The sequence below is a fragment of the Homo sapiens genome, chromosome 15 (assembly GCF_000001405.40).
Source record: "Homo sapiens chromosome 15, GRCh38.p14 Primary Assembly".
Classification (NCBI taxonomy): Eukaryota; Metazoa; Chordata; class Mammalia; order Primates; family Hominidae; genus Homo; species Homo sapiens.
The window spans coordinates 91,398,863-91,416,131 of record NC_000015.10 but is presented as its reverse complement, the minus strand read 5'-3'; the positions used below and the strand labels follow the sequence as shown (position 1 = coordinate 91,416,131).

At 38.5% G+C, this 17,269-nt stretch overlaps 1 long non-coding RNA gene across 2 annotated transcripts in view; it reads left to right on the top strand.

Annotated features, from left to right (window-relative positions):
* LOC107984778 (uncharacterized) overlaps nt 1–12,959 on the top strand; it is a 66,533-nt gene extending 53,574 nt beyond the window's left edge. Inside the window, exons 1-4 of one of the 2 annotated variants that reach the window (XR_007064762.1) lie at nt 3,515–3,656; nt 7,130–7,297; nt 8,692–8,878; nt 12,603–12,959. This is a non-coding gene — a long non-coding RNA (uncharacterized LOC107984778). Of the gene's footprint in view, nt 1–3,514; nt 3,657–7,129; nt 7,298–8,691; nt 8,879–12,602 lie in introns of those variants that run through there. The other variant, XR_007064763.1, reaches the window with a different exon arrangement.
* Nucleotides 12,960–17,269: the final 4,310 nt, after the last annotated feature.

Sequence of the window (17,269 nt, the reverse complement as noted above, 5' to 3'; positions counted from 1 at the left end):
AAAATTAACATACAAAAAAATAGCATTTTTATATGCCAGCAGTAAATAATCTGAAAAAGAAATCAAAGTAATCTCAAGTAGCTATGAATAAAATTAAATAAAGTAAAAGATCTCTACCAGGAAAATTGCAAAATATTTATGAAAGAAATTAAAGAGAACACAAAAATGGAAAAAAATTTTTATATTCATGGATTAGAAGAATCAATATTGTTAAAATGTCTATACTACCCAAAGCAATCTACAGATTCAATGCAGTCCCTATCAAAATACATTCTTAACATGAATAGAAAAAAAATCTTAACATTTATGTGGAACCACAAAAGACCCAGAATAACCAAAGCTATCCTGAGCAAAAAGAATACAACGAGGAGGCTGGGGGTGGTGGCTCATACTTGTAATCCCAGCACTTTGGGAGGTCAAGACGAGAGGATCACTTGAGGTCAGGAGTTTCAGACCAGCCTGGACAACATGGTGAAACCCCATCCCTACTAAAAATACAAAAAAAATTAGCCGGGCATGGTAGCAGGTGCCTGTAATCCCAGCTACTCAGGAGGCTGAGGCATGAGAATCACTTGAACTGGGAAGATGGAGGTTGCAGTGAGCCGAGATTGTGCCACTGCACTCTAATCTGGGCGATAGAGCAAGACTCCATAAAATAAATAAATAAATAAATAAATAAATAAATAAATAAATAAATAAATAAAAGAAAAGAAAGAAAGAAAAGAAAAGAAAAAGAACACGATGAGGAATCACATTACCTGACTTCAAATTATACTACAGAGCTATAGCAACCAAAATAGCATGGTATTGGCATAAAAACAGACACATAGACCAATGGAATAGAATAGAGAACCCAGAAAAATATCCATACATTTACAGTGAACTCATTTTTGACAAAGGTACCAAGAACACATATTGGGAAAAGACAGTCTCTTCAATAAATGATGCTGGAGAAACTGAATCTCCATATGCAGAAGAATGAAGCTAGACCCCTATCTCTTGCCACATACAAAAATCAAATCAAAATGGATTAAAGACTTAAATATAAGACCTCAATCTATGAGTCTACTACAAGAGAACATTGGGAAAACTCTCCAGGACATTGGACTAGGCAAAGATTTCTTGAGTAATACCTCACAAGCACAGGCAACCAAAGCAGAAGTGAACAAATGAGATCATATCAAATTTAAAAAGCTTGGCACAGCAAAGGATACAGTCGACAAAGTGAAGAGACAACTCACAGATGGGAGAAAATATTCACAAACTCTCCATCTGACAAAGAATTAATAACCAGTATATATAAGGAGCTCAAACAACTCAATAGGAAAAAAATCTAATAATCCAATTTTAAAATGGGCAAAAAACCTCAATAGCCATATCTCAAGAAAAGACATACAAGCAGTCATATCAAAAGGTGCTCAGTAACACTGACTATCATAGAAATGCAAGTCAAAACTACAATGAGATATCATCTCACCCCAGTTAAAATGGTTTTTATCCAAAAGACAAGCAATAACAAATGCTGGTGAAAATGGGAAGAAAAGGGAACCTGGATAAACTGTTGGTGGGAATGTAAACTAGTACAACCACTACAGAGAACAGTTTGGAGGCTCCTCAAAAAACTAAAAATAGATCTACCGTTGTGATCCAGCAATCCACTGCTAGGTATATACCCAAAAGAAAGGAAATCAGTATATTGAAGATATATCTGCAGTCCCATGTTTATTACAGCAACTATTCACAATAACCAAGATTTGGAATTAACTTAAGTGTCCATCAACAGATGAATGAATAAAGAAAGTGTGGTACGTATACAAAACAGAGTAGTATTCAGCCATAAAAAAGAATGAAAGCCTGTCATTTGCAATAACATAGATGGAACTGGAGGTCACTGTGTTAAGTGAAATAAGGCAGGGACAGAAAGACTTTGCCTTTTCTTAATTATTTGTGGAAGCTAGAAATTAAAACAATTGAACTCATGGAGATAGAGGGTAGAATGATGGTAACTAGAGGCTAGAAAGGGTTGTGGGGTTGGGGGAAGTGGAGATATTTAATGTGTACATAAATATAATTAGCTATAATGAAGAAGATACAGTATTTTGTAACACAACAGGTGACTACAGTCAACAATAATTTATTGTATATTTTGAAATAACTAAAATTGTATAATTGGATTGTTTGTAACACAAAGAAAGGATAAATGCTTGAGGCAATGGATACCCCATTTACCCTTATGTGATTATTACACATTGTATGCCTGTATCAAAATACCTCATGTACCCCCTAAACATATACACTTACTATGTACCCACAAAAATTAAAAATAAAAATTTTAAAATAATAAATAAATAGCATTAAGCTTCATGTTTAAGATCCATATGCTTTTGAGACTTTTTCCATTACACCAAGAGCTTCTTGAGATGAGGAATGCTGTCTTTTTCATGATAGTCTGACCTGGGACACAGAGAGCCCAGCACACATGAAGGGTTCAGGGAGTGATTACTGGAATGGAATTAATGAAAGTAAGCATGAATAGATGGACAGACGGACGCCATGAGCCTAATGGGGTCCTGCAGTACAAGTACACACTAAGCTTATTCTGCAGGTTTGAAAATGTGATTGCCCAGCTAAGATTAAAGATGAAGAGTGGGCCCTGGTCTTAACTTAGGAGATGTGATTGCCTTGTTCTGTTGGTTTTAGCTATTGCCCAAACCAAGCAAAAGCAGGTCCTACTCATAAACATAATTATGCCAGATGGCGAAGTGATTAAACAGGCCATCTGACAATATCTATTCATCTTAGTTAGGGCATAGCTTAAAGATGACTGTCTGAAATTCAGTCTGATCACAACCAGAAGCAATGGAAACTGCCAAATACACTGTTTCATAGCTAAGAACGTGAGTCTGGGATGACTGTAATGTCTTTTAAAAACACACTTCAGAAGAAAATTGATCTCATTTGTTATGGTATCATTTGAGGAAGTTCCAAACTACAGGACATAAATATGGAAAATGACAAAATCAATCAAAAGTTGATGATATAGAAAGAAATTAGGGTCCACCCTGTATCTCTTAAGGCTTAGAATTTTTTAAAGAGAAATGAGAGTCTGCATAACTATTATGTTTTATTTTTTTTCCCCTACAGTGCCAAAATCCATGATTTTCTAAAATAAACAGTGTATTTACTTTTTTGGTCCTGTTCAAGCTCAGCCACTTACCAACTGCGTACGACCTAGGGCAAAGTAATTAATCATTTTGAAACTCAACTTTGCAATGCATTAAAAAAGTAAGAAAAATGCACAACCTAGTGAATCAGAAAATGAAATGTGTTCATTAAAGAGATATGTAAATCATCAGTGCCAGGCACTCTTCTAAGTCATCTGCATACAGTAACTTCTTTAACCTGGTTGAGACGAGTGCTATTACACAAGAGGGTTCTGCAACACTAAGACGTTATATAACTTCCTTGAGGTCACGTGGGAGCAAACAGATCATTTGCCATTTGAAAAATAGGTAGTCTTTCCCAGATCTCTCTGCTGTACTGCCTCATGTAGCTGGTTTTCCAGAAGTATTTGTTGGATGGATAGAAGAAGAAAAGAGAAGAAAGGAAGAAAGGATGGAGGGCTTAGCTGAGGGACACTTCCCAAAATCAATCAAGTAATTTCCTATTTTTTCTAATTTGGACTTATCACAAAGCCTTCTACTTATGATTTGACTTTTCTGTGCATCAGCCCATTGTGGGGATGGGTGGGGAAATTATGTAATCAGGCCAGTTCATCTGTGTATTCTACTGGAAATAAGAGTGCTCATGGCAAATTAACAAATTCACATTGATGTTTATTTACCAGTCTCTAAACTTGGTTAATGTGAGTCAATCCACAGAAGGAACCCACACTGGGAAATTGAAACTCAATTTCCCATTCCCCAGATTAGTTTTGAGACTTCCCTAGAACCTAGTATAGTTCCTTGTATGAAGTATATGCTCAATTAATATTTATTTGCATGTTGAATTGAATTGAATTTCCATTTCCTAATGCACAAAAAAAGTAAAGAAAATGCACTATCTAGTGAATGAGAGAACAAAATGTGCATGTTAAAGGGGTATGTAAATCTTCAGTGCCAGGCACTCTTCTAAGCCATCTAGGTACAGTAACTTCTTTAACATGGTTGGGATGAGTGCTATTATACAAGAGGACTCTATGGGCTTCCAACCCACATTTGGAAGACAAGCCAACTTTAAGAGCCTATAAGATTAGACTGTGGGCCATGGTGAATCTACCTTGGTAATACCAACCTTTGGAGTCTGTACAGCCTGCCAGCCTTCCTATCATAGAAAAGACACAAGCTATCCTTCCACTTCCTTTAAGGCCAGTACCTTGTTTGTGTATTACCCAACCTCTGTTGCAAAGGGCACTCACCCTGTGAGATTCTCTGTGAAGAAAGAGTCAAATAATTCACTTTAGAAAACCAAACAAATGTTTAAATCCTTAAAAAAATTATTCAGATAAAATTCAACACTTCCCAAACTTATCAACAGAACCATTTTTTTCCACATAACTTTCATTAATATATACTAGAATAGTAATTCCTCTGGCCTAATTCAGTTCAACATGCAAATAAACATTAATTGAGCATATACTTCATACAAGGGATGATACTAGTTTCCAGGAAAGTCTCAAAATTAATCTAGGAGATGGAATCTATATTTTGAATGCTCAAGGTAAGATATTTTAATCTTGTTGAATTTAATCTTCTCCAAAAAAATCTCTGAAGGAGACATTGTTAGCCTCATTTCACAGTGAGGAGACTGAGATTCAAAGAGAGGTCAAGTCTTTTGATCAGTGCCACCCAGATTTGAAGCCTGGGTTGGAAACCATGTTTGACTTCACTGTAGATTAGATACTCTTACAGTTCCTTAACATAGACCTTTTCTTAAGTAACTTGCAATATTGGGTGGAATATAAGACATGTATATGGCTGTATAACAGAAGCTAGAAAATGCAGAGAGGGACAGAAAGTGTGTTTTAAAGCATTCAGAGGAAGTTGACATTACTTTCATCTGGGAAGATTCAAGAAAGATTTTATTTGTGATGTGGCATTTGAGTGGAGCCTCAAGGGGAAATAAAAATAACACCATGTGGTAGAAATACCAAAATAAATTTGGAAAATCTTCACCTGTATCCAGAGAGAATTGCCAAAAACCTACATCAGGGTAAATGTTGCTCTCTTTGAAAAAGTAGTAAAATCCTTGTGTACCTAATATGGTGTCCAAAACATGATGGTACAGAGGTAGACAGGAAGTCCCTGACTTCAAGATGGTTCACAACGCAGTACAACAACCTTCCCTGAATACTACCACTGGAAACACAGAGGAGGTCTAGCTTGGCTTCAAGTGGAGCAAATTATAAAGAGCTTCCTGGAAGACATGGAATTTACATTGGAGAAGCATTTGCACACAAGATGCTAGAGAAGATCATTCCAAGCAACAACAACAAAAATCCATAGACAAAGTCAAAGAAATAGACAAAAATGAAACATTGAGACTAGCCAGAACAGTCTGGAATTTGGAATAAGTGCCTGTGTGGCCAAAGCACAAACAAGACAAGGCATTTGAATTCTGGATCCTCCATCGTTCTTAACCGGACCAATTCTGCATTTATGTTATACTTTGATGTTCTGTATAATGTTTTGTTTTCATTAAAAAGGGTTGTTTTGCTTAACAAACTGCTCAAAGCTGGAGCTTGGTCATAGGAATCAGTTGTTAATGGTAGAAAAGATCGGAGGAAGAACGTGACTTCCTAGGGAACTAATAGAAACGATCTCAGCTTGGGTAAAATATTAGGGTATGAGGTTCGCATTAACAGGAATTTTGTTTAATGGCCTTGAATGTCATGCCATGGATTCTTGGTTGATTTTGTAGGTAATGGGTAGCATTATTTTTTAAATAAGCGTGTAAAATAGAGAAAAGTGCCTCACAGTTGGTCATGTCCAATACTTTCTTGCTGGAGAATATTCTATGATCTGGAGCTAAGGAGTCACTCTCCCTTATAATTTTCTGTTTGTCACACTCATAATCTTTGTGTGCCAGCAAAAACAAAATGAGGCCAGGTCACAGTATTCCTGTATGTCCTTCTTTATGAGACAACAGTTACTTCTCAGCCATTATTACTCCAGCAAGAGATAGAGGACCAATGTTATAAAACAAGACTATCCAGCTAAACTAGTGAGCATCGCAGGAATATACTAGGATACAAAATTTACCATCTTTAATGTCCCTCCTCTGTATTGAATTCCTTAGATTAAAATGGAGAATAGGTATCTTTAAAAAGAAAAGAAACTGTGTAACCTAAGTTTACATTTTTCTCTATGAGAAAAGTGTTTGCTAGGGAACTAAAACTATCTCAGCGTGGGTAAAATATTATGGTATGAGCTTCCCATTAACAGGAATTTTATCTTATCTATTCTAGTATTCCCACTACCTAATTTAGTGGTGTTCCATAAATTATCATGAGTAAAAGGGTATCAGTAATGGAAAAATTCAGTGCCAGTTGGCTCTAGACACACTTTAAGAATTGCTACCAAATAACTGGGATATTGCAAGTAGGAATACAAATTGCTATTTCAGTTTCAAACAGGCTATCTCTGGGGGATGAGAAAATGTCATAATGAGTAGCAGCAGAACATCCCAGCAGGGTTCCAAAATGCTGAGATTTCAACCCATGAGCACCAATGCCAATATTAATAAAGTCACCTATATGAGAAAATTTCTTCTCTGTTTTGAAAGATCATATTCAAAGCTGAATAAAAAGCCAAAATCAGAGGACAAATGAACCAGTTTTCAATCCTAAGAAACATGAATTTTCAAGTAAAGTAAATTAACTCAAACATGAATTTTCAAGTAAAGTACATAGATTAGCTCAATAGTACAGTTTTGTCATAAAATATATTAGTTCTACAAAGAAATAGCCTGGCCAAACCACATTCCAGCTGTATAGGTGTTCTGGTTATTTACATATCATCTCTCTAACCCATACCCAGCTTCTCTATTCTCCTCTACGAGGCTGGGTATGTGCAAACTCCATTTCTGAGACTCTCCCGCCTGCTTACTTCCCGGTCGATTCTATCAACAGGAGGCACTGGCAAGAGATAAGAAGACTGGAAAAAGAGATTTCTGCTTCTGACTCTGACAGAAGGGTAGTTGCTGGAGATTGCTAAAGCGGTTTCATCTGGCTCATTCCGGATTTCTGGAATTGGCAGCCTGAGCCAATTCCAGACATAGCTGCAGCGGTACCTCATTGGTGGGTTCAGGACTGACTTCTCCAGTGTCCTTCTCCTCTGAGTATCACCTTCGCCTGCTTTTACCCTCCAGCCCTCCGATTTCTTTGTCACCAGCTTCCTGACTCTTCATGGAGCCAGTGGCTATCTGACCTTTCTGAGTTGCAGTTTCCTCAGTTCTGAAACTGGGTTAATTAATACACAGGGATAAGAGGAAATGAAATTAAGACTTACAGAAATCCTCTGCACTAGAAAGGTGGTAGTAATCCCCTATGTAATTCAAGTTTTAAAAAATAATAATAAATGTAAAAAATCCATAAAATTCTGATTTTTAACAGAACTACTATTTTAATGCTAATTTTTAAATATCAAAAAAATATACATATTGGTGCCCTTGTTTTGCTATTATCTTAATTACATACTTTGTCTACCTATTGTGTACCAACCTCTTATAGCATCCACTTTATAGGGTAGTTTGGGGGCCTGGTAATAAAGTACATAAAGCTCCTAGGACAGTGCCTATCCTGTAATAAGCACTAAATACCTGGCAGCAATCATTATTTTTGTGTAGATGATTTTAACAGCTAATCATATTTTCTCTGATACTTCCTTCACTTTCTAATATCACTGTTTGTACAACAGCTCAGATTATACCATCATTATACCTCTTCACAGCTGAGGTCTCTACCTCAAGCAGAGATCTCTACCTCAAGTAGAGATTATACAGGTAATAGCAGAAATCTCTCTTGATTCATTAAAATGTGTTACAAGCCATAAACAGGAAACACTCTTCCTAACAAAATATATATAGCCTATTTAAGCTTAAGGGGAAATTAACATTTATTGTTGCCTATTATATGTCAGGTAGTTTGCTAGGTACCTTCATCTGGATGATCTCATTTAGTCTTGTTAAACTAACTAGTCAGAAGAATATTTGCTTTATTAATTGCATGAACATAAACAAAGATAATGGGTACTGTCTATTTTAATTAACAGGTGACTAAGTATTATATTAGGAAGAGACTCACTCACGTAGCAAAGATTTACTGCATGCTTACTGAGTGCCAGAAACCAAGGATACAGAGATTAAAATAAAAAGCCACAACGGAACTGACTCTTCCCCACCCCAGCTGCTTGAATAGTGGCTGCCAAAGGCTCACAGGTGGCTTCAGCGAAGGGAAGCAGCCTCATCCAGAAAAGCCTGTGAGGTCATGCCTTCCTCCACAGCCAGCCCAGGCCAATGACATATGTGGCACAAAAAGCTCAGCCCCTTGCCTTAAGGTGGGGCAAGTCTACAGTGTTATTTACATTTCAGAGCACCCCAAGAAATCACAGTGAAGTTAGACTCCAGTGCAGCCACAACATCTTTGCTTAGCTTCTTCCTCTAGCCTGTCCCGCTTTCCTCCTTCCCTTCCAGGTTCTCCCTGAGAGCACTCCTTCAATGACTCACTCAACAAGAATCCTCATTCCAGGCTCTGCTTCTAGGGAGCCTGGCCTCATCTGTCTTCAAGAAGCTTTCTGCCTAGTAGAGAACCATACCTGCAAACATACAAACAAAATGTAAATCATAGTGTGAAGTCATGAATGTGAATGTACAAAACACGGTAAGTGCACAGAAGAAGAAGCATGGCAGAATCAGCACTCAACTCCGTGCCCATGGTACATGGGTAAAAGCAAGATTAAATATCCATCCCAAATTCAAGTACAGTAAGGCATAGATTCTACAGCAGAGGTCAGCAAATTTTTTCTTAATGAACATATAGTAAGTTTTCTAGGCTTTTCAGGAGCATAGGAGAAATTCTGTGTATTTTGTAAGTACTTATAAAACCATTTCAAATGTGACCTCAGGCAGCTGACTCGACTTCACCTGTAGGCATATCTAGAATAGTGTTTCTCAAACATTAATATGCATAGTAACCACCAGATGATGTTGTGAAAATAGATTCTCATCTGGTAGGTCTAGGGTGGGGTCTGAGAATCTGTATTTCTTTTTTTTTTTTTTTTTTTTGAGAAGGAGTCTCGTTCTGTCACCCAGGCTGGAGTGCAGTGGAGCGATCTCGGCTCACTGCAAGCTCCACCTCCCGGGTTCATGCCATTCTCCTGCCTCAGCCTCCTGAGTAGGTGGGACTACAGGCGCCCGCCACAATGCCCGGCTAATTTTTTGTATTTTTAGTAGAGACGGGGTTTCACTGTGTTAGCCAGGATGGTCTCGATCTCCTGACCTCATGATCCACCCACCTTGGCCTCTCAAAGTGCTGGGATTTCTAATAAGCTCCTAGGTGATGTTGATGCTGTTGGTCCAAGGTCCACACATCGAGAAACAAGTCTCTAGAGAGATAAGTATGGTAAAAGGAGAAATCCTAAAAGAAAAACAATTGAGCAAAGCTGCAGGAGTTTTAGGAGCAGAGGAAGCAATAGCAAGGGCTCTAGGCTGAGGTCAGAGGGAGTGCCAAGTAATTTAATTAATGGACATTTATTGACCATCAACTCACTTCAAATCATGGCTCTAAGTGCCACAAGGAAAGAGGCCAAGCTTTCACAACCTTGAGCATACTTTGTTAAAGAATCAGCTAGAAGACAGAGTAGCAGAGGAGGAAGACCTGTGTAGTCCACTGTGGCAGAGAGAGCCAATCGTCCAGCAGAAACCTGATGCTTCAAGGGCTCAGATACACACGAATAGAGGATCTCAACAAATAGATGCTTTATCTGCCCAGCAACCGCCTGTCCAACTTCAGATTGCCATAACCCTTGCCACTGATCTATGTAGCCAAGGCTATTTCTTTTAAAACAACTACGTAATCGTCCTCATTTTTTCCTTTAAAAAACCTGTGTCTTCTTGTAATCCCAGCACTTTGGGAGGCCAAGGTGGGCCGATAATGAGGTCAGGAATTCAAGACCATCCTGGCCAACATAGTGAAACCCCATCTCTACTAAAAATTAAAAAAAAAAAAATAGCCAGGTGTGGTGGTGGGTGCCTGTAATCCTGGCTACTTGGGAGGCTGAGGCAGGAGAATCACTTGAACCTGGGAGGTGGAGGTAGCATTGAGCCGAGACTGCACCATTGCACACCAGCCCGGGTGACAGTGCAAAGACAGACTCCATCTCAAAAAACAAACAAACAAACAAAAACACCTGTGTCTTCTTTTATCTCTCCGAATACACACATAGTTTACTATGGCGTGTGTATTTCCATTGCAATGCTCTATTTCCAAATAAACATCATTTTCTTTAAAAAAAAAAAAAAAAAAAAGATATTTCAGAGGCAGGCAAACCAAAGCACACAGATTTAAATTCCACTTTCAAATCTTGATTAGCTCTTTGGCCTAATATGTGTCATCTAACTACCCTGCTATGGTTTGAATGTTTGTGTCCCTCCAAAACTCACGGTAGAACTTAAACCTCAAGGTGGTGGTATTAAGATATAGGGCCTTTGGAAAGTGATTGCACTGTAAGGGTTCCACCCTCATACATGGGATTAGTGTCCTTATAAAAGGGCTTGAGGGAGTGAGTTTGCGCCTTCCATCCTTACACCATGTGAGGACACAGCAAGAGGTAAAATCTGTGAAGCAGAGAGCCAGCCTTCACCAGACACCAAATCTGCTAGTGCCTTGATCTTGGACTTCTAGCCTCCTGAACTGTGAAAAATAGGTTTCTACTCTTTATAAGTTACTCGGTCTAAGATATTTTTTTACAGCAATATAAATGGACTGAGACATATTCTGAACCTCAGATTACCATGCTGAACATGCAGGTATCAACTTCAGCAAGGCATTATGAAGGTTAAATGGGATAGGATGTATAGAGGCAGCTGGCACATAATAGTTGAATGAAGATCCAACACTTTTTCTTCCCTTGGTAAAGACATTGGCATAGTCACTTGCTTGTGAAATGTGCAAATATGGAACCAGTGGTTTTAAGAGAGGACTGCACAATTCCTATGAATATATAAGCTCTCTCTGGAAGAATACCCAATAAGTTGAAAACACTGATGGCATTGAGACAGGTTAATGAATGAGTAGAGAACAAGGATGAGAGAAAAACTTTTGTGTATCTTGATTCTTTTTGATGTACATATTTTGCTCATTAAAAAATGGAATTACAGGGCCAGGCCACGATGGCTCGTGCCTGTAGTCCCAGCACTTTGGGAGGCCAAGGCAGGCGGATCACCTGAGGGCAGTCGTTTGAGACCAGCCTGGCCAACATGGGGAAACCCCATCTCTAATAAAAATAGAAAAATTAGCCAGGCGTGGTGGCGCACACCTGTAGTCCCAGCTACTCAGGAGGTTGAGGTGGGAGAATCGCTTGATCCCAGGAGTCAGAGGTTGCGGTGAGCCGAGATTGCAGCACTGCACTCCAGCCTGGGTGACAGAGTGAGACTCTGTCTCAATTTAAAAAATAAAAATAAAAAAATGGAATACACACACAGGCACATGCACACACATGCTGAGTGGATAAGTGATACAGATTTAGGAACATAAGTCTATTAGCAACAGGTATGAGTGAACGTAGACTTCAGCATAAAGTTGTACTTCTGTCCAGGAAACCAGCAAACTGTACTAAGGAGCTTTTTTTCACTTTTATTTCTAAATATCATCATACCTAAGAAAATTCATTAAGATTGATTATTCTAGAAGCTATGGAAGATAGTGTTAGTTGATTCACTCAGCACGTATGTCAACCCTATTGCTTCTTGTTTTTCCTACTTTAAAAAAAATTGATTTTCCAGCCTTCCTTATAGCCAGAGGTGACCATACAACAGTTATAGTCATTGTGACATCCACAGAAAGCTGTTGGTGCCACCTCTTCTGTTTTATCCTTCTGTCTGTCATGCTGGCTTGATGCCTAGAGTTCCAACAGCCATTTTACAACCATGAGAAAGAAAGCCCACATGCTTGGGACACTGAAGCAGAAAGAAAGAAAATGCTTGGGTTTCAATGGTATCAGTGAGCTGCCTCCTGAGAGCTACCTCTGTATCTCTTGTCTCATTAAAAAAAAAAAAAATGAATTCCCTATTTGTGTAACACTTTCTATTATATTTTTATTTTAGTTATAGCCAAAATCAATATTTAATTATATAAAGAAGAATCAAGTTAAATAACTGGTTTTCAGAGAAGGAAGTTCATGAGCGATGTGGAAGATAAAGAAAGAATCAGTTTCAGAAGGCTGATATCAGATTAGTTGCATCTGAAATATAACCAGAGTATACGTCCCTCTTATTTCTGTGATATGTGAACACAGCCCCTAAACAAATATATACATTTTTATTAGCCATCTCTGTTCTGCTTAATTTTAAAATTAGATTATCTGCCTTATTTTTCCCATTCTTAGAAACCTGAAGCAAAGGACGTATTACAAAGATTTTGGAGAATGCATGGAATAAAGGAAGGACTGAACAATTAAGCTATGGGAAGAACTGAAACACAGAAGTTCCAAGACCTCCAGAAGCTGGGGAATGGAAACATGCTTTCTATAGCATTGCCTAGCGTCGTGCAACTCTGACACTCTCTGTTTCTATGTATCTCAATTCAGGTTTTCCAATTATTAGAAGAATTAATCTAACTGAACAAACTTGGGTCAGATATCTGTATTTTGAGAGCATATAGCTATGTCCAGGGGACAGAGTAGAATACATAGGCTTATCCTTGGGGTAACTACATGGAGCTGAGCAACCATCGCAGTTTGTGTCTCCTACATTCCACCTGTTGATTGTGGTGGTTGTGTACACACACACGAACGTACACACAGACCCACACACACACTCTCTCTCTCTCTTCTTTCTCTCTCACTTCTCTATACTCAATATATATATTTTTCTCCATCTATCCACAAATGCCTCAATTCAACTAAAAGTAATTAATCCATACATAATAACTAACACTCTTGTCTTCTTCTAAAATGGGAAATGACCTAAATTCATGCCCAGCTATTAAACAAGGTACGATGTCATGATACCACATTTTTTTTTGAAATCAGGCTCCCTGGGTGATATCCATTTGTATTATATATGTGTAATAATTTCATCTGGGCATTCTGCAACTACACAGCCTGTGAAGGGGAGAAAGGTTAGGGAATCAATACTAATATAAATATTGACCTAGTATAGGTTTAGTATGCAAAGAAATGCAAGTGCAGATTTTTTTATTTGCTGCTGAAACTGGTCATGAGGTTTATTGTAGTCCATTCAGGTTGCTACAACAAAATGCCATAAACTCGATAGCTTATAAACAGTAGAAATTTATTTCTCATGGTTCTGGAGACTGGGAAGTACAAGCTCATGGTGCCATCAGATTCGGTGTCTGGACAGGATCTGCTTTCTGGTTCATAGATAGTACCTTCTCACTGTCCTCATGTGGTGGAAGGAACAAGTTAACTCTCTGGGGTCTTTTTTTTTGTGAGAGCATTAATCCCGCTCTTGAGGGCCCTGACTGCATGACCTAAGCACCCCCCAAAGGCCCCACCTGCTAAGACCATCATATTGGTGATTCGGTTTCAGCATATGAATTTGGAGGCACACAAACATTCAGACTACAGCAAGGCTCTAGCTAGTATTTATGACTTCCATGTTATTCTTACCATTAGCCAGCAACTCAGTTACTCAGAATTATTTGCCCAGTGAAGTTACCCAATAATGTATCCCTAACTGGTCTAGGCCCTTAGTGTTTCAACTTATATAATGTTGCTGTACCTTCTGTTAATCTTTGCCATTGAGCATGGTAGTGTAAGGTGGTTTTTTTCTCTCCAAAGAATTGCTGTTAATATAACTCAACTCTACTACCCTGTGACCTCTGTGTATTCCCTTGCAAGTTGTAATTGCCTATAAAACAGAATATTTTGAAGTCAGATATCTACCCCTTGGATAAATTGGCCAGAGGCCTAAGATGAAAAGGACATTCACCCCAGGAATGGTTATATACTGGTTGACCACCCCAGATTTTTCTAGGTAAATATCCTTTCTTTAATAGTGGTTATTTACAAGATTTGTGTATGAAGAATGTGAATTTTTTAATATAATAAAATTTTGTCAGCATCCAGTTTATTCTTACATAAGTTTCTAGAATACTGACAGAATATTCTGATCATTGGTTATGTACCAACTATTTTAATTTAATCTTTTCTTCTCAAATTTTATCTTAACCATATATTCTACCCAGTTTATTAGATTGCCCCATGGTTAAATTTAGTAGGTAGTAAATCATCCTAAGCATACAGAGTGGTTCTTTTTGTGATCAACCCTGAAACATAATTGAAAGAGCAAGGGTATGGGAATTAGATTAATCTGGACTTTATTTCTGGTACTTACTTGCTATCTGACCTTGGGCAACTTATTAATTGCTCTGAGTCTCATTTTCTTCATCTATAAAATGATCATAATAATAACTAATTCATGTGCAGTTTGGAAATGTGTAATTAAATGATTTATATAAAGTTCCTGATACAGTTTCTGAAAAATAATAGACACCCAGCAAGTGATAACCATAATAATCAGAGTTTATTCTTCATATTAACTGGGATAAAATTTATCAGGAAATACAACATGGCAAAGCACCCAGAAATTCACAAGCATGTATTTCGCTTGCCCTTTTATACAGAGCTGAAAATTTTATCATCATTATCTCATCCATTGCCTGCAGCACCATCCTTCCCAAACTCCTCCTGAGACTTTCTACTAAGGTGGAGCACATTGAACCATATGTGACTCTGCCTTTTCTGACTATTTTTGCAAGATTTTTCTCATTAGAGTATTATTAACAGAAAGTGGGGCTGTTATCGAGGTAACTAGGAACGGTGCATTTTCAGTTCAGGCTCCGACGGAACTTCTGCTTGACCTGGTACAACTCCAACTGTGCTCTTGTCTTTCCTCACTCCTGTTGTTCCAAGAATGTAAATATTCTTCCATGTCTTTCTTCCATGTTTTTCTCCACAAGGTCTCATTGAACTACACATTTTCCCTTAAATTTTCTCAACTCATTTTATTTCTCCTAAATAAACTTGATACTTCTCCCTTTTCTAATGCAATAGATCTTCTTACTAATACTGCCCACTAAACATTTGTGTGTAATTTGTCCTTAATTCTACACACAAAATATTATCTCTACAAACATTTTACAACTATAGTGTGTCTACAGAGAACTATAAGAGGAACTTGCTCTAAAGGAGGAACTTCAACAACCAAGCCAAGGGTCTGATAATTTTCAACAATATGTTATTCAAGAAAGTGCAGCAAAAAATATTTTTAAGTTAACGGAGGAGAATGACATGAGCAAAATGGCAAAACAGAAGTTTTCAGCACTTATCCCTTCACAGAAACATCAATTTGAACAGCCATCTGTGCATGAAAATATCTTCATAAGAGACAAGGAATCCAGCTGAGAGGTTATAGCACCTTTGTGGAGCAGAGAAATAAGAAAAGGTGCATTAAAGAGAGTAGAAAAGACAGTTTCATATTATCTGCATTACCCTGCCCCAAAACCTGGGCAGTGCAACATGGAAAGAGATACTATATATGTGGGGGAAGGAGAGTAAAGTTAACACCTGACTTCATGGACTCCAATGCCAGGCACGATTCAGTGAACTCAACACCAGGCAGGTTCCTATAGCCACAGGCTACAGGACAGTCCCTGTAAACCCAAGCTCCAGGCTGTCCCCTTACGGCTCTAAGACCCAATGGCTCCAACCTCCATAGCTCTTATGAACATAGGCTCCAGGCCTTCCCCAGAACCAGGCCATTTATGGCTGCCCTAGGCTCCACGCTGGTCACTATAGACTCAGGCTCTGGGCCTGTTTTCATGGACTCAGCACCAGGCCCACCACAGTGAACCCCAGCATGAAGTCAGTATCCACGGCTCCAGGCTCCAGACCCATCTCAGCACCAGGCCACCCACTGCAGCCCAGGATCCAAACTCACTTCAACACCTGGCTGGTCCCTATAGCCCCAGCCAGGCCCCAGGCCAACCCCAATGCCAGGCTGGCCCTCATGGCCCCAGCTCCCAGGGCCACCCACACAGACTCAGGTTCCAGGCCTGTCCCCATGGATCCAGTCATCAGGCCCACCTCAAGAGTCCCCAGTGCCGTACCAGACCTCATGGACCCAGAACCCAGGCCTATACCCATGGACCCAAGCTCTAGACACAACCCCACAGACTCAGGTAACAGATCAGACCCTGTGGACCTAGGCACCAGACCAACATGTACAAGGACTTCAGCAGCAAGTTCACCCATGAACCCTGCTAGCTGAACCACCCAGAATCTCTGGATGTGCTGACTGGTGAAGGGCTTTCCCTGCCAAAAGCAATCTGTCAAGAATGAAAAAGCTGGCTCTTTTTCAAATGTACAGACATCATTACGAGGCTATAAGGACCACAATTAATCAGAGAAACATGACGCTATCAAAGGAACAAAATTAAGCACCAGTAACCAACCCTAAAAAAATAAAGATGTATGAACTGCCTAACAAATAATTCAAAATAATCATCTCAAAAAAGTTCAGTGAGCTATAATACAGGTAGACAACTACATGAAGCCAGAAAAACAATACATAAACAAAATTAAAAATTCAACAAAAATATAGGAACCATTAAAAAAAATAGAAATTCTGGAGCTGAAGAACACAATGGATGAACTTAAAAATTCCACATAGAGCTTCAACTTCAGACTCAACCAATAAGAAGGAAGAATCAATGAACTCAATGATAAGTCACTCGAAAGTACTCGGTCAGAGAAATAATAAGGAAAAAACTTAAAAATTGAAGAAATAATATAGAAATATAGTACACTACTATGCAAAGCAATATACTCATTATAGAAGTTCCAGAAGGAGCAGAGAAAGGAACTTCTCTAATGAATATAAAACTTTTCAAATCTAAAGAGGGAAATAAACATACAGATCCGTGAAGCCCAAAGAACCCTAAATAAATTAAACATAAAATAGTTTTTGCCAAGACATATTATATAATCAAATTCTCAAAATAGACAAAGAATTTTGAAAGCAGCAAGAG